General features: G+C 46.9%; 4 annotated features.

Annotated features, from left to right (window-relative positions):
* Positions 2,593-3,171: an enhancer, noted in NCBI's record as "H3K4me1 hESC enhancer chr17:48395964-48396542 (GRCh37/hg19 assembly coordinates)". NCBI's record gives its function as "activates a minimal SCP1, AML or CMV promoter by ChIP-STARR-seq in primed H9 embryonic stem cells {active_cell/tissue: H9 hESC(primed)}" and the evidence as "EXISTENCE:reporter gene assay evidence [ECO:0000049][PMID:30033119]".
* Positions 3,172-3,751: an enhancer, noted in NCBI's record as "NANOG-H3K4me1 hESC enhancer chr17:48395384-48395963 (GRCh37/hg19 assembly coordinates)". NCBI's record gives its function as "activates a minimal SCP1, AML or CMV promoter by ChIP-STARR-seq in naive and primed H9 embryonic stem cells {active_cell/tissue: H9 hESC(naive and primed)}" and the evidence as "EXISTENCE:reporter gene assay evidence [ECO:0000049][PMID:30033119]".
* Positions 5,472-5,601: an enhancer, noted in NCBI's record as "active region_12381". NCBI's record gives its function as "activates an Ori minimal core promoter by ATAC-STARR-seq in GM12878 lymphoblastoid cells {active_cell/tissue: GM12878}" and the evidence as "EXISTENCE:reporter gene assay evidence [ECO:0000049][PMID:35858748]".
* Positions 9,848-10,366: an enhancer, noted in NCBI's record as "NANOG hESC enhancer chr17:48388769-48389287 (GRCh37/hg19 assembly coordinates)". NCBI's record gives its function as "activates a minimal SCP1, AML or CMV promoter by ChIP-STARR-seq in naive H9 embryonic stem cells {active_cell/tissue: H9 hESC(naive)}" and the evidence as "EXISTENCE:reporter gene assay evidence [ECO:0000049][PMID:30033119]".

Raw genomic sequence — 17,755 nt, 5'->3', positions numbered from 1 at the left:
TTGTAGGTTGCATACAAATACTATGCCATTATATATAAGGGACTTGAGCATCCTCAGATTTTGGTATGTGGAGGGGTGGGGGTCCTGAACCAATCCCCTGTGAATATCAAGGGACAACTGTGCTATTGACCATCCCAGGCAGTATGAAACAATTCTTGATCCTCCTTTACAGAGATGGGAAAGAATGCACTTGCCAGGTCAGTAGCTACATGCCATGCACCTGAGTCAATGTGAATCTGCTGTGGCAAAATCACACCCAGCAGAGTGGCAGCCACTGAGGCCACCACCTGACTGAGCTTGTGGTAGTCTACTGTCATCCTGCAGGATCTCTCTGGTTTTTGTAGGGGCCAGACTGAGGAATTAAATGGAGGAAATTATGGAGACCACATTTTACATCTGTAAGGGTGGCATTAATCTCTGCCATCCCCCAGGATGTGATGTGGTTTTCGATTGGCTGGGGTGGGAGGCCATTTGAAAGGCTTCCATTTCACCTGCCTCACTATGATGGCTCTTACCCCACAGGCCAAGGAACCACTGGAAGAGTTCTGGCAATACTGGTTATGTTGATTCTAGTTATATATTAAGAGACCAGGGCCGGGCGCGGTGGCTCACACCTATATCCCAGCAGTTTGGGAGGCCGAGGCGGGCGGATCACTTAAGGCCAGGAGTTTGAGACCAGCCTGGGCAACATGGAGAAACCCCATCTCTACTAAAAATACAAAAATTAGCTGGGCATGGTGGCGCCTGCCTGTAATCTCAGTTACTCTGGTGGCTAAGGCAGGAGAATCGCTTGATCCCGGAAGGCAGAGGTTGCAGTAAGCTGAGATCGCACCTCTGCACTCCAGCCTGGGTGACGGAGCAAGATTCTGTCTCAAAAAAATAAATAAATAAATAAATAAATAAAGAGAGAGAGACCAGGAAAATGACTACCAGGTGGGTCTGTGGACCTAATGGACATACTGTGAAGCTGGTCATGGCTGGGACTATACTTATTACTTGACCCCATATTCCACCACCCTAATAAGGTGCCGTGATGATGCTTCAGTTTCCTTGGTATCAATGTCAATTTGGACTCTATGTTCAACAGTTCTCAAAAGATCTGCATTCTTTCCCCAGTGTATGATTACTCAAGTTCTCCCTGTGGAAGGGCTGGTGGAACCTTATCCTGTCCATATGCCAGCTGATGCAGTGTCTTTCTTCATTCAGGACGTTCTAGATCTTAACTTAGGCTGGAAACAGGACAAGGAATCATGACTTTTTGTTGGGTGGTTGATGTTTTAAAATAAGCTCTTGGGCCGGGCGCGGTGGTTCATGCCTGTAATCCCAACACTTTGGGAGGCTGAGGCAGGCGGATCATCTTAGGTCAGGAGTTTGAGACCAGCCCGACCAACAAGGAAAAGCCCCCATCTCTACTAAAAATACAAAATTAGCTGGGCTTGGTGGTGCATGCCTGTAATCCCAGCTACTTGGGAGGCTGAGGCAGGAGAATCGCTTGAACCCTGGAGGTGGAGGTTGTGGTGAGCTGAGATCACACCACTGCACTCCAGCCTGGGCAACAAGAGCAAAACTCTGTCTCAAAATAAATTAAAAAAATAAAATAAAATAAGCTGTTTTTGGCTGCTCATCTATCTTACCACTAGGAATATTATGTTCTATTAACCATTTCCGGCTTGGCATGGTAGCTCATACTTGTAATCCCAACACTTTGGGAGGCCAAGGCGGGCAGATCACTTGAGTGCAGGAGTTCAAGACCAGTCTGGGCAACACGGTGAAACCCCATCTTTACTATTAAAAATATATCTTAAAAAAGAAAGGAAAAAAACACCATTTACTTAGTTCTCTGCAGCAGGACCTCTGGCTGCCTCCCTGACCTTGCTGCTCAGTGTGAGAATCGTGCCCACCTTCTGACAGATAAGTGCTGCTATCAGAGGCGTTGAAACCAGAGCAACTCCATCTTGAATAGGGGCCGGGTAAAATGAGACCCACTGGGCTGCATTCCCAGACAGTTAGGCATTCTAAGTACAGGATGAGATAGGAGGTTGGCACAAGATATAGATCATAAAGACCTTGCTGATAAAACAGTTTTCAGTAAAGAAGCCGGCTAAATCCCACCAAAACCAAGATGGTGATGAAAGTGACCTCTGGTCGTCCTCACAGCTACACTACCATCAGCGCCATGACAGTTTACAAATGCCGTGGCAATGTCAGGAAGTTACCCTATACGGTCTAAAAAGGGGAGGCATGAATAATCCACCACCTGTTTAGCATATCATCAAGAAATAACCATAAGAATGGGCAACCAGCCACCCTCGGGGCTGCTCTGTCTATGGAGTAGCCATTCTTTTATTCCTCTACTTTCTTAATAAACTTGCTTTCACTTTACTCTACAGACTCACCCTGAATTCTTTCTTGCGTGAGATCCAAGAACCCTCTCTTGCGGTCTGGATCGGGACCCCTCTCCTGTAACACTGCCACTTGGCCTTGATTATTTTGGGCTCCTCTTATCCCTATTACTATCAGCTCCCCCCACCCCCACCACCCCGCTCTGTAACAGCATCTCCCACCCTCACGGCCTCCCCGAGAATGGCCAACGATAGACTTCTCGATGCTGCTGCTCCTCCTCCACCAGCACCTTCTTTACTGCTTTGGTAAAAGAGTGATTTATGGGCTCTCCCAGGGAACATAGTCAGCTGGGGAATTTGCAGGCCCGACACAGGCTGATCCGGTTGAGCAAACCCTCTCCTTTGATCCATTTGATCCCTTCTGCCATCTGCCATGCTGTTTGAACTTTTCTCCTTAACTTAGTTTGAGCCAGTGCTGTTTCTAGGCTTCCAAGAGCCATTCTAGCACCTTCTCCTGGGGTCCTTGCCAGGGGGTAAAATCCTGCATCACAGGAGCACACTCCTATTCAATATTCTTTCCTATCAAGCTCTATGTTTTGATCCTCATCCTCAGAATCCAGTCCCATCTCTACTCTCCTGAATCCTGCCAGCACATGTTGGCAAGTTCCTGCAGCTCCTCCAGGGTACAGTCTCATTCCTTCCTCAGCAGCAGGTCTGGCGCATCCCTGGCCGGTTTTGTTGTGACTTGATAGCTATTTGTCTGGTGGCCAGGAGGGAGGTGCATTTCATCTTGCAAAGCAGAGGCCCTGCACTATCTTCAAGCATGAGGGGAGTTTTAGCCCTTAACAGTGGGCAGGGGGCCGCTTCTGCAGGCCCAGTGGGTTCAGTGGAATCTGGAGATTCAAGATTTTTTTAGTGCATTGACCCAGATGTGCCATCCCAAGTCTCTGAGTTCTGATCCTTCTCTACTGGGGTATGACCTGACAGAGCGGACGTGCTCTGATTGAGAATCCAACCTCTCTGAAGCTGCATTACCCTTATAATGAAGCTTCGGGCTGATCCTTAGCTTTTTCTGCCCTCCAGCTACAGAGTCTCTATATGCTGCCAAGAGACTTTCACACTTTGTCTCAAACTGATGATTAAGTACTCTCAAACTTTCATTGTCTTCCTTTAAGCATTGCTAGCCCCAGAGCCATCTGATTTCACAGTCCTTATATTACTAGTTCACTCAAACCTCTCAAATGCCTGGGAATTTGCTTCCACCAGTGCCTCCCTTCCATCAGTTTCCCATCATTCCTGCACATCCCCAGTGAAAGTTTAAACAAGTACACCACGCTAGAATGCCAGGGGCAATTATTGCTCCACCTTCCAGCTCCAAACACCTATTTTAGAATCTGCTTCCTAAAAATTACTCCTGGCCTCAGCTGCCTCATGTCTGGGTCCCTCCCTGCCAATAGATTTGTGATGGATATTTACACGCTGGAAGTGACTGGGCCATGGTCTCAGAAACAATACTTGTAAGGTAGTAAACGAAGCAGGTTGAGCAGAGGGAGAAGTGGAAAAGTGGAACTGGGTTGCAGTTGCAGCACAGCCTCAACTGATGCTAAAGGGAGCTTTGGACCTGAGGTGGCCCTTCAGAGTTGTCTCAGATCTAGGCAGGAGGACTACGCTTTTGTACTTCTGCACTGACCAATCATTGGCAGATCACATAAAGCTTGGGCTAGGCGGAGGATAGTCTTTGGATGGGAATAAATAAAGCCTGGGCATTTATGAACATGAAACAATGCCTGAAGGCTCAGCTGCGAGAGCTGTGAGCCATCAGCAGCCAATCTTCCCTACAGCTGGAGAATGAGTGGTCTGGTTTTGAAGGGGAGAGAGAGAGGTAGTGCACTCTAGGAGCCACTGACCTGAGGAAGGGGTTGACCCAGCAGAAGACAGAGAGGAAGGGCATAAAGACACCAGGTTCTTGGTGACATCCTTTGAGCTGCAGGATGAAATCCTGCCTGAAGCCACATTTCAAGTATACATTTCAGGTAAGCATGTAGGCAAGTTCTCTTTGTTTAAGCCACGTGAGTTGGGATTTCTGCTGCTGGATAAAATCTTGCCTGAAGCGGCATTTTATTTGCACTTTTCTCTAAAGCATGCAGGCAAATTCTCCTTGTTTAAACCATGTGAATTGGGCTTTCTATCACTTGCAACATAAAGACTCTCCATGGGCTGGGCATGGTGACTCAGGCCTGTTATCCCAACACTTTGGGAGGCTGACAAGGGAGGATTGCTTGAGCTGAGTTCAAGACCAACCTGGGCAACATAGTGAGACCTCATCTCTACTACAAATTTAAAAAAATCAGCTGGACATAATGGTGCACGCCTGTAGTCCCCGCTACTCGGGAGACTGAGGTGGAAGGATCACTTGAGCCCAGGAGATCAAAGCTTCAGTGAGCCATGATTGTACTACTGCACTCCAGCCTGGGTGACAGAGTGAGACCCTGTGTCAGAAAAAAGAAAAGAAAAGAAAAGGCCAGACACAGTGGCTCATGCTTGTAATCTCAGCACTTTGGGAGGCCAATGTGGGAGGATTACTTGAGCCCAGGAGTTCAAGACCAGCCTGGGCAACATAGTGAGACCCCATCTTTAAAAAAAAAAAAAAAAGAGTATCCATGAATTCAAGTACAAACTTTAACAGTTTATTGCCTTTTTAAAAATCAAAAGCTAAAATTAAATTTGTGATTTGGAAAATTTATTAGTAAAAAAGGTTTCTGCATAAATTAATGATGGTTCTTTTCTTGCTCCATAGTGCTACCTGAATACGGACTGAAAATTACTTATGGAAATATTTACAAGCTTATACTGCAGTGTAATTGGTGCTTGTTTGAGTGCTTCATTAATATTTAATTTTGCATCATTTCTTGAGCTAACTCATTGGCACATTTTCAGCATTCCACTGACAGACTTAACATAAATCACATTAATAATAAATGGCATGAGAGCTTTTTGTATTTCTTTTCTGAGCTATCATTTAAAGATAATTTTCTATGACAGGGAATTTTAAATGTACTATTAAAGATAAGACTTTCTTAATGTCTACTTCAGCAACCAACAGGAAATACAATGTGATTTTAATTACATTTATGTCTTGGGTTTTGACACAGTGCTTTCTGCTATTAACTCTTGTGAAGTGTACGTCTTCATAAAGCATTTTCAGCCATCCATGAAAAGACAGACTTGCTCAGACAAGTACTCGAAACTTAAACTATACAAGCAACTCCATGACATGAAGCAAGACAGATGTTTCTTTGTGGGAACTGGGGCTGGTCATGCTTGTCCGAGTGGCAAGGACCTAAATTCTTTAGGTGGCCAATATTTCTGTAGTCAGACAGTCTCCCCAAAGCCAGAAAGAGTGGAACCCACAAATTCCCTGGTCTCAGAAGAGAACATCAGCTTAGCTTGGCAGGGCTGTCTTAGGAGCCTGTCTCTGCAGGCTCACTGTGCTCATTTCTAAATGTACACCTGCAAAAGCATGAAATTAACACTTTAAACAAGTCACATTTGCCAATAAATAATTCAAAAGTTTTATGTGGAAAAGAGAAAATATGATAAACCACTGAAAGCGTATCTTTAAAATGCATGTCATAATTAAGAATTAACCACCAAAATTTAAAAAAAAAACCCTTAAAATAGTTTAAAATTCTTTTTTTTTTTGAGACGGAGTCTTGCTATGTCACCCAGGCTGGAGTGCAGTGGCGTGATCTCAGCTCACTGCAAGCTCCACCTCCCAGGTTCACGCCGTTCTCCTGCCTCAGCCTCCCTAGCAGCTGGGACTACAGGCGCCTGCCACCACACCCAGCTGTTTTTTTGTATTTTTAGTAGAGACGGGGTTTCACCATGTTAGCCAGGATGGTCTCAATCTCCTGACCTCATGATCCACCTGCCTCGGCCTCCCAAAGTGCTGGGATTACAGGCGTGAACCACTGCACCTGGCCAAAATAGTTTAAAATTCTTAAAAAACATTTATGGCAAAGCACATGGATACTGAAATTAAACACAAAAATGATTTCCCCCCCCCATATTGCTTGTAGAACAGTCAGGATTCTTTTGATTGCGAGTGACAGAAATCCAGTATAAAAGGCAATAGTAGATTAAAATAACCAAAAATGCCTGTTTTGTTACAAGTAAGAATAGGGGCCAGGCGTTATGGCTCACGCCTGTAATCCCAGCACTTTGGGAGGCCGAGGCGGGCAGATCACTTGAGTCCAGGAGTTCAAGACAGCCTGAGCAACCCCGTCTCTACGAAAATAAAAAAATTAGCTGGTTGCGGTGGTGAGTACCTGTAGTCCCAGCAACTTAGGAGGCTGAGGTGGGTGGATCAATTGAGCCTGGGAGGTTGCACCACTGCACTCCAGCCTGGGAGACAGAGCAAGACCCTGTCTCAAAAAAAAAAAAAGATGAAATTCTTCCTCCACTCCCCTACATCTCATCCCCACTTCCAAGGGGATCCTAGAGGGCTGTCATAGTTATTGGTTTTGTGTGCTCATCAGCCTTCTTCCGGTATTAGCACCCCTGTTTTGCAGCAAGTGCGCCCACCTCCCTGGAGTCCTGGTGAGGGTGCTGTCAATCACAGTGCCCACTGGCTTCTGCTCCAGCATGGACATGTGACTCAGGCTGAGCTAGCACCTAACATCTGCTTTCCTGTTCTGACAGTTGCCACCTCCCCACTCCCCATGACTTGAATTTGTGGAGCCACAGCTAATCCCTGAAGCCAGAAAGAGTAGAACCCACAAATTCTCTGATGTCAGAAGAGAACATCAGCTTAGCTTGGCAGGGCTGTCTTAAGAGCCTGTCTCTGAGGGCTCACCGGGCTGGTTTCTAAATGTGCACCCACCATCTGTTGGATGATTCATACCCGGCTGGATACAAAGTCGGGGCTCCATTCGGGTCTTTGGACTTGAATTCATTCCAAAATCAAAGGTGTCAAGATTGGTGGCTTAAAATTCTAGAATCATTTTGGGAAATGAGGACGGCATTTGCCCTTGTACAATCTCTTGATGTGTCTCCCATTTTTATAAAAGTGAAAAGGAAGTTCTGAGAGGCTCCCTGAGGCAACTCCTTCCCCATCTGGGATTGCGCCCCTCCAGACCAGAGACTGAGCGCCCCTGAGGGGCTCCCACCCCGACTCCTCTCCCCCAAGACATGCTGGACAGGGCTGATGGGCTATCTTCCCTCTTCCTTCTTCCCTTCCTTTTCTTTCCCCGCTGTTTTTAAACTTCATTTGCAGACATTTGAGTTAGTTAATCATATGCCTTAGTTCATGGCACTTTCTCATCACTAGTCCATGTAAGTCCCCTCTCTTGTTTGTAATTATTCTCTTTTATCCACATATCCTATCCCAGTCTCCAGCCCCTCCCCATCATAGGCACATGTTCTTTTTTTGTTTTTGAGGCAGGGTCTTGCTCTGTTGCCCAGGCTGGAGTTCAGTGGCATGATCACGGCTCCTGCATTCTCTGCCTGGTCCCAGGCTCAAGTGATCCTCTGGCCTCAGCCTCCCAAGTAGCTGGGGACTACAGGCACATGCCACCAATGCCAGCTAATTTTTGTATTTTTTGTAGAGACAGGGTTTTGCCATGTTGGCGAGGATGGTCTCAAATTCCTGGGCTCAAAGTGATCCGCCTGCCTCGGCCTCCCAAAGTGCTGGGATTACAGGCATGAGCCACCGCGCCTGGCCATAGGCTCATAATCTGTGAGTCTTTCATTTGCATGTATTCTTGTACAGGGAGTATTGATGTTTTGTATTTTTTCTAGGCATACATTTTAAATGTTCACAAATGCTATCGGGTTATATATCTCATTCTGTTGCTTGTTTGTTTCACCCATTCTTATATTTCTGAGATCGGTCCATGTGGCCCTGGGTGCATCTAATCCATTGCTTCTAACTTTGTAAAGTACTCCATGGTGTGTGTGCTGAGTAATCTTCATCTGCCCCCAGGGCCCATTTCCCACCTTCCAGTTGGGTTTGGTCTTTGAAAGGCACCATAAGAGATCAGAGGGTAGGCACAAGTAAGGTGGGATATTGATTTGACTAGACAGGCTGGGCATAGCAGTGGTGGCATTATTCTCCCAACGGCCACAGCTCCTGCCCAGAGGCTCTCTCCTACAGCCTGGGGACCGCCTCCTGCCCTTACCCTCAGGCATGGTGGAGGCAAGAGTGCCCCATGGATGCTTGTCTGAGGGTGCTTCCCTGCCCCTTGTTGGTATCCCTAAACGCCACCCACATCATATACGTTATTCCATCATGGAACTCTTCTCAGTCGTCCTGCGGAATCAGACTTATTCAGCATGGATTTGCCACATGTGTTCCTCTTTGCCCACCCAGTGGTAGACTCCTGCCTTGCCACTAACTCCCTGCCACCACACCTATCTCCAGGAGAAACAGCTTCACTCTTCTTTTCACCTCTGGTCCTTTCCTTTCCAGGTGGGGTGCATTCCCCTGACTCCTGCAGCTGTGGCATCTAGGAGAGGGGCCCATCCTTGTCTTTCTAATCACCTGACCCAGCGGTTCTCAACCAGGCGTCATGTCAGCCCCATGGGACATTTGGCAATGTCTGGGGACATTTTGCTGGTCATGACTGGGAGGTGGGGGTGATGAGATGCTGTGGACATCCAGTGGGTGGAGGCCAGGGATGCTGCTCAGTCCATTCCTCCAAAGCATAGGACAGCCCCTCCATGGCAAAGACGTACCTGGTACTGAATGTCAGTGGCACTGAAGTGGAGCAGCTCTGAGTTAACACAAAACCACTTGGACTTTAGATTTAATCCTTTCCTGGGCTTTTGATTAGTTCTTGGGGAGGTGGCGGGAGACCTCCTGAGATCTTGCTTCATGCTGCCTGTGAAAGCAGCTTTGTTAGGCTAAGCTCCTGGCCTCGCTCCACCCTCTCCCTCATTCCTCCCCAGGGCAGGAGGTGTGACATCTGATTCTCAAGTTTCTGAGTTTCCACGGAGGAGCCAGGCAGGCCCTCCCAGCTCCTTCCCTCTGCGTGGGAGCTGGGTGCCCATGGGAAGCCCACATTTAGCATAGTAAGCTACAGAGGACCATTTGCCCAGCACTGCCTGTGACCAGGGGACAGGTCAGCCTGGTTCCGGGGTACAATGTTGGGAAATCTGTTGTTGTTGCTCAGCTAAGCCATGCTCTTTTCCAGCTGTGACAGTAATAAAGCTGACTTTATTTAAATTTTTTTTTTTTTTTTATAGATAGACTCTTTCTCTGTCACCCAGGCTGGAGTGCAGTGGCGTGATTGTAGCTCACTGTAACCTCAAACTCCTGGGCTTAAGCAGATCTCCCACTTCAGCCTCCCAAGTAGCTGGGACTACAGGTGTGCATCACCATGCCTAGCTACTTTTAAAAATTTTTCATAGAGATGGGATCTTGCTGTGTTGCCCAGGATGGTCTCAAACTCCTGGCCTCGAGTGATCCTTCTGCCCTCAGCCTCCCAAAGCACTAGGAATATAGGCGTTAGCTACCACATCCAGCCAAAGCTGACATTGTGATTGTCATCTACCTAGCTTCTTTGCCAATCTCTCATCTGGTTCAGAGCTGCAGGAGAGAACATCATAAAGTGTAATTCACTGGGACTCTTCAATGCCAACAGTCACTTTAATATCACTGGAACCTCCCTCTCTGCCTCAGGCCAGTCCAGGCAAACACGCAGTAGGGCACCGGGATTAGGAGCACTGGCCCATTGTTAGTGCATGGGGATTCCCCATTTACACCTGATAGGAGAAAATGGCCTAGCCAGGTTAAGTGGAAGCAGCGGAGTGCTGGCTCAGGTGTCCGACCAGCATAGGTGGTGCTGAACACAGGGGCTCAGATGATTCACTCAGGACCAGTTCCTCTCTTCCCATTGCTTGGTTTCTTTCTTCTGTGTTGACCATACCCTCAGGAAGGCTCTCCTCTTAGAGTGGCTGCCAGCAGCAACCAGACTTTATATTACAAGTTCAAATCCTACTGAGAACAGCAGGAAGTCTTTTTTTCTGAGCATCCCAGCAGTGCTGTGATTCTATGGCCTGGGGTGTGTCTGTCTCCTGAACCAATGATTAATCAGAACCAAAACCATCTTCCCCACACTTGTCCTGGACAGTGAGAATGGAAATCACACCTTACAGTCTAGAGTAACATGACCTGGTTATGCCACTGTCTTCATTTGCATTTCTCTACTCTTCTGGGACTGTCCTGCTTAAGCAAATGGTTCAACCGTTCATTGCAGCAACTTCCAGGAAGACCTATCAGCTCTTCAGTGGAAAGCATCAACAGTTTGAACCCTAAGATTCTTTGAATATTGTGGTTCAAAATCCTAGCCTGCTTTTCCCACCAATCCAGGACTGTTGTATTGTGATCTCTGCCCTGTCTGAAGCAAGCCAACTCTCCCTCCCCCAAAGACTCACTTTAAACCAAACTTCCAGTTCTCCGTACATCCTGACCTTATCTTTCACCTCTGCTGGAAGCAATAAGCTCAGCTTTGTCTTATCAGTTGGTCGTGATGGTAATGTCTGGGGAGCCCACTTCTGACACTAAGATGGTAGAATCCCCCAATGGGAAGGGGACTGAGCCCATGAATAACTCTTGTAAGTGCCAGTGAGAGGGTCAGCTTCAAATATGTCCCAAGTCCAGAGAGCACAGAGGCTGGGGCTGCATGGCAGCATCAGTGAAATAAGAGCTTTCCTGCCTCTCTTTCTATCATCTCTGTCCTTGAACTTCAGCCCTGGATGAGTCAGAATCCTCTGTTAACAGAAACGGAGAGGAGTGAAAGGCTGGGAGGGCTTCACAGGTGGGCTTCTCTGGAAGCAGATGCAGAGGTGGAGTTTGGCCTTCAGGAGGCTTATTTCTTAGGAAACAATACCTGAGTAAGGGAAGAGGACTGAGCAGGTGTGGGCAGGGGCAAGGTGAGGTGTGATGGCTTGTGGGGAGCCTAGTTAAAGGATAAACTCTGGCATATTAAAATGTTAATGAGGCCAGGTGCAGTGGCTCACACCTGAAATCCCAGCACTTTGGGAGGCCGAGGTGGGTGGATCACCTGAGGTCACCTGAGGTCAGGAGTTCGAGACCAGCCTGGCCAACATGGTGAAACCCCATTTCTATTAAAAATACAAAAAAATGCCAGGTGCGGTGGCTCACACCTATAATCCCAGCACTTTGGGAGGCCGAGGCGGGCAGATCAAGAGGTCAGGAGATCAAGACCATCCTGGCTAACATGGTGAAACCCTGTCAGTACTAAAAATACAAAAAATTAGCCAGGCGTGGTGGTGGGCACCTGTAGTCACAGCTACTCAGGAGGCTGAGGCAGGAGAATAGTGTGAACCCGGAAGGCGGAGCTTGAAGTGAGCCGAGATTGCACCACTGCAGTCCGGCCCGGGCAAAAGAGTGAGACTCTGTCTCAAGAAAAAAAAAAAAAAAAAATTAGCTGGGCATGGTGGAGCATGCCTGTAATCCCAGCTACTCAAGAAGCTTAGACAGGAGAATCCCTTGAACCTGGGAGGCAGAGGTTTCAGTGAGCTGAGATCACGTCACTGCACTCCAGCCTGGGTGACAGAGCGAGACTCCGTCTCAAAAAAATATTTTTTTTAAATGAGTTTATTTGACCATTCAACAATTCATGAATTAGGCAGCACCAGACCACCAGTGGTTCAGTGCTCCCCAGAGCAGGCAGGAAAGGAGACTTTTATAATGTGGCTGCAGAAAGATAAATAAGACAAATAACAAATAACATTGTTATTTGTTAATAACAATGAACAAATAAGACAAATAGCAAGTAACATTTGATGCTTTCCATTGAAGAGCTGATAAGGTCTTTCTGGAAATTCTGCAGTGAACAGTCAAACCATTTGCTTGGGCAGGACAGTCCCAGAAGAGTAGAGAAATGTTAATGAAGGCAAAGACAAATAACATTTTCCATTGGTTAAAGTAGGAAGTCCCTAGTTAGAATTTAGTCAGTGCTTTTTAATTGGTAAAAACTCTAGTTTGAGGTTAGTTGGCAGTTACTGATTGTTTAAGCTTGAGTTTATGTTGAGTTGGGTTTCAGTTTGCTTATGTAGAAAACCAAGGCACTGGAACTGTTCCAGCCTAATAGCCTCTCAGATAATTATTTTAATAACTTAAATGGCCAGCTCTTCAACCCCTACCTCTATCAGTCATTGTACATGGACCCCCCCAGAAAACAAAAGGCATGCTCTTGGGTGAGGCAGCACTTTGCAGCTGAGGCGAACCCTGAAGAAGATGTCAGCCCTCCTGGCCTCCTGGAGCTGGGATAAGTCCTTGCTTGGAGGAGTAGGGGGTGGCACTTTTCTGTCCAACCACTGAGCAGAAAGCAAGCAAAACTGATGGCCCTGCTTCTCTCCAGACACCGGCTTCTCCCTGACACGGGTCCTAACTTGGACAGAAGTGTTTGTAGGGGAGGAAAAAAATAATTTTTCCTTCTACTCACCTTAGGTTTACTAGCTGGGGCTCCTATGCCAAAAGACAGATTAACAAGAGAAAAAAAATAGGAGGTTATTAACATGCATATTTCAGATAAACATGGGAAATGCCCAGGGAATGAGTAAATCCCACAGAAGGGACTTTCAGCATCTTCAACAAAGAACAGTACATTTTTTATTTTATTTTATTTTTTATTTTTATTTATTATTATTATTTTGAGATGGTGTCTCGCTCTGTTGCTCAGGCTGGAGTGCCATGACATGATCTCAGCTCGCTGTAGCCTCTGCCTCCCAGGTTCAAGCGATTCTTGTGCCTCAGCCTCCAGAGTAGCTGGGACTACAGGTGCCCATCATCACACCCGGCTAATTTTTGTATTTTTAGTAGAGACGAGGTTTCCCATGTTGGCCAGGCTGGTCTTTAACTCCTGACCTCAAGTGATCCACCCACCTCGGCCTCCCAAAGTGCTGGGATTACAGGCATGAGCCACCACACCCAGCCACAATAAATTTTTAGACAAATAACAAGACCAGGGGAAAGGACTTGGAATCTCTAGGGGTGGCAGATTGTGAGAACACAAATAAATTGTATATAGAGGCTAGCTTGTAAGGTTTGTTATGGAGATTGTTCTGTTGCTGATAAGGGTCTAAAGCTGTCTCTGGTGGCCAAACTTTGTCCTTCCTGGTAGATGGGGGGAGGGCACCTTTGTAAGTTTATGTCCTACTTTTAGGCAAATAGCGGGAGAGCAGAGGCCTCCTTATATCTGCTTCATCTCAATTGTCTTAAACTCAAAATAATCCTTGTGCCAAAGGGGCACAGTTTGGGGTGGCATATTCTGGTCTCCTACATCTCTCTGCAAGGGGAATTGATGTTTTCACTCTTTTGCAGAATCAGACCTTTTAATGACTAAATTGACACTGTTCTGTGACCTGAAGGGACTGGAGAAAAGATGGCCAGAGTTGTCAGGGGCCTGCCTGGGTTTCCAGCCACAGAGGGGAAGAACTAGCCTGGCAGGATTGAGAGGCAGCTAACCGTCTCCCTGCGGCAAGTGTGGGGGTCAAACTCACCCTCTTTACAAGTCAACTCAACTGCCCGAGTTGGGCAACTTCACAAAGATGAGGTAAGTGAACTGGACCTTTAACAAGGAAAGGCACAAAAGGCCAGAGGAGAAGGAAATAACCTGACTTTGTATTTGTGCACCTGGGGAGATATGCAGCCCTCCTAGATTAAGACCAATCCCCTCAAACAATGAAAGAGATTAAAGGCCCTGGCACAATGAAACAAATAAAAGGGCCAGATGCGGTGGCTCACACCTGAAATCCTAGCACTCAGGGAGGCTGAGGCAGGTGGACTGCTTGAGCTCACGAGTTCAAGACCAGCCTGGGCAACATTGTGAGACCCCCCCCCCCCCATCTCTACCAAAAATACAAAAATTAGCTGGGCATGGTGGCATGTGCCTGTGGTCCCAGCTACTCCAGAGGCTGAGGTGGGAGGATGGCCTGAGCCCAGGAAGTCAAAGCTGCAGTGAGCCGTGATGGCACCACTGCACTCCATCCTGGGTGACAGAGCAAGAACCTGTCTCAAAACAAACAAAAAAGATAAAAGTCATTGTCATCTCTATCATCTCATCAAGATACAAAGACCCAATCCCAGCACTTTGGGGAGCTGAAGCAGCATGATGGCTTGAGCCCAGGAGTTCGAGACCAGCCCAGGCAACAAAGCGAGAGTGAGACCCAGGCTTTATTAAAAAAAAAAAAAAAAAGATCAAGGGGTCCTTTGGAGATTGATGCTAACCCAGCCCCACTAGACACCATGGAGACTTTACCTTGTGCAGGGCCAGTTCTGAGTGGTGTCTTTGTTATGGTATTTAAATTTCTCCTGCTGACTAAGTTAGTCTGAGTTGGGTTTCTTTTTTTTTTTTTTGATGGAGTCTCACTCTGTTGCCCAGGTTGGAGTGCAGTGACTCAGTCTTGGCTCACTGCAACCTCTGCCTCCCGGGTTCAAGCAGTTCTCCTGCCTCAGCCTCCCAAGTAGCTGGGATTACAGGCATGCACCACCACACCCAGCTAATTTTTTGTGTCTTTAGTAGAGACAGGGTTTCACCATGTTGGCCAGGCTGGTCTCAAACTCCTGACCTCGTGATCTGCCTGCCTCAGCCTCCCGAAGTGCTGGGATTACAGGTGTGAGCCACCGCACCCGGCCTGAGTTGGGTTTCTGTTGCTTCTGACTGAGAGCAATACCCGTATGTGGATGAGTGGAATGAAAACCACCCGGGACTCCTGAGCTGGGACCATGGGAAGCGACCTCCCATTACAATGTCAGGGGACAGTCATGTAAACATCTCAACTCCTAAAGGGCCTGTCATGTCAAATTGAGGTGCTGAGCATCTCCTGGCCATCCCTTTGGAGGTTGACAGTGAGGAATTATTTTGACCAGCTTCTTAGAATGTGTGTGTGGGAGAGCAGTGCCGAGCAAGGTAGAAATGTGACTGGGAAGGATGCAACAGAATTTCTACTTTCTAAAAGAAAGTGGAAGGGAAAAACACTGAAATCTAAATCTTCCTTTGAAAAAGCTATTAATAACAGGTGTGGCACAGGGAATGTTTAGGGCAGTGAAACTATTCTATATGATACCATAATGGTGGATACATATCATTATGTTTGTCGAAAGCTATAGAATGTACAATGTGAAGAGTGAACCCTCAAGTAAATGATAGACTTTGATTAATAATAATGCATCAACATTGGCTCAGTTGTAACAAATACACCACCCTAATGCAAGATATTAATATAGGAGAAACTGTGGGCATAGGGGATAGAGAAATATGAGGGACTGTCTGTACTTCCCACTCAATGTTTCCATAAGCCTAAAACTACTCTCAAAAGAGTCTACCAATTAATTAAAACAAAGCTAACAATATAAGGTCATATTTCTAGTCTCATCCAATAAAAAATTATAGTGCGGGGTACAACTGTATTTTCTTCAAAAAAAACCATTCAGTCCAGGCGCAGTGGCTCACGCCTGTAATCCCAGCACTTTGGGAGGCCAAGGAGGGTGGATCACTTGAGGTCAGGAGTTTGAGACCAGCTTGGCCAACATGGTGAAACCCTGTCTCTACCAGACAGGCCAACATGGTGAAACCCTTTCTCTACTAAAAGTACTAAAATTAGCCAGCTGTGGTGGCAGGCACCTATAATCCCAGCTACTCAGGAGGCTGAGGCAGGAGAATTGCTTGAACCCAAGAGGCAGAGGTTACAGTGAGCCAAGATCAGGCCACTGCACTCCAGCTTGGGAGACAGGAGCAAGACTCCATCTCAAAAACAAAACAAACAAACAAACAAAAAAACCGCTCAACACACAGAAAAAATGATGGAAGCCCCAATTTTGTCACACTTCAAATCAGTACAGACCCCCCAGATTCATACACTAAGAGTTTTCCAAAGTTTTCACTATGTTCATTTTCACAGTTTGAACAATCCAATTATTTATCTTAGAAAAATGCCAGAGCCTTGGACAGATAAGCCATATCTAGAACTCTAAGAAACGAATTCATCTACATGTTTTCCACCTCTGGGCAGTCTCCCTCCCCAAGGACAACATTCTTTGCCAAATAAGTCTTGATTCCAACTTGGAAGGGAAGAAGTTTATAAACACACAGGCACAGAGACACACAAAGGCTTCCTGGAGTCTCACAGTTCAGTGAATGAGTCTGTGGCGCTCGCCACTGTTCCCAGATCGCTAGCTGAGTGCTTCACCACATTCCTTTCCCACTCACTTGTCTCCAGCCCACGTTTTGGGGTTCCCCTCCTCCAGGCAGGCAGCCCGGGGCCTGCCGCAAGGGGAGGTGGCCCCTCTCTGTTCTTTGTGAGGACTGGATGCCCATGCCTCTCTCAGCCTAGTTGGGCACCTTGCCCTGTATACTCCTTGGGGACAGCCTCCCTCTGCCAGCTGTCACACAGCAGACAGCCCAACAGACTTCCTCTCATGTAACAGCATGTAATATGTAACATCACCATGTAACCATGCACATAATACTATGTAACATCAGCATGTAACAGTGCATGTAAGATGATGTAACATTATGTAACATCAGCATGGAACATTGTACGTAATGTTGCATGTAACTGCATGTAACATCACATATAACAGCATGTGACATTGTGTGTGACAGCATGTAACATCAGCCTTCTTCCCATATTTCTTAACAGCCACTATGCCAGTGTTTCCCCACTTTTGTCCGTATGTGGCTAGCCAGCTCCTGCTATTCATTTGCAGCCTACACAGCCCTAATGCTACTGAAATCGTTCTCTTCCAGCCCTGCAACAGGACAGAGGAGATATTTATAAGAAATGCCTGCAGAGTGGCATCCCAGCATCCCCATGAAGCCCATCCTTTTCTGAGTCAAAGTCTCAGAAGTCATGTTCTTCCCCGAGAGATATCTGACATTGAGTTCCCAATCTTGCCTCGTGTGTGTCCACTTCTGGTCCTCAGACATGTTCCTTCCTTCACCACGATCTGGGAGACCACAGGGCATTACAGTTCCTCGCATGGCCACAGAGGCAGGCAATCTGGGTCTGAATCCTGGACTTTTGCAGTTATAGCTAAGCAACTCGGGGCAAACCTCTCTAAGCATCCCATTCTTATCTGTAAAGTGGGAATAAGAGTCACGCCTTATGATTCAAAAAACATAATTTTTTGGAGGCTGGGTGCGGTGGCTCATGCCTGTAATCCCAGCACTTTGGGAGGCTGAGGTGGGCAGATCACAAGGTCAGGAGTTTGAGACCAGCCTGACCAATATGATGAAACCCCATCTCTAATAAAAATACAAAAATTAGCTGGACATGGTGGCGGGCACCTGTAGTTCAAACTACTCAGGAGGCTGAGGCAGGAGAATTGCTGAACCCAGGAGGCGGAGGTTGCAGTGAGCCGAGATAGCGCCACTGCAGTCCAG

This window comes from Homo sapiens, chromosome 17, assembly GCF_000001405.40.
Source record: "Homo sapiens chromosome 17, GRCh38.p14 Primary Assembly".
Taxonomy (NCBI): domain Eukaryota; kingdom Metazoa; phylum Chordata; class Mammalia; order Primates; family Hominidae; genus Homo; species Homo sapiens.
Note: the sequence above shows the minus strand (reverse complement) of the source record. Positions and strands in the feature narration are given on the sequence as shown.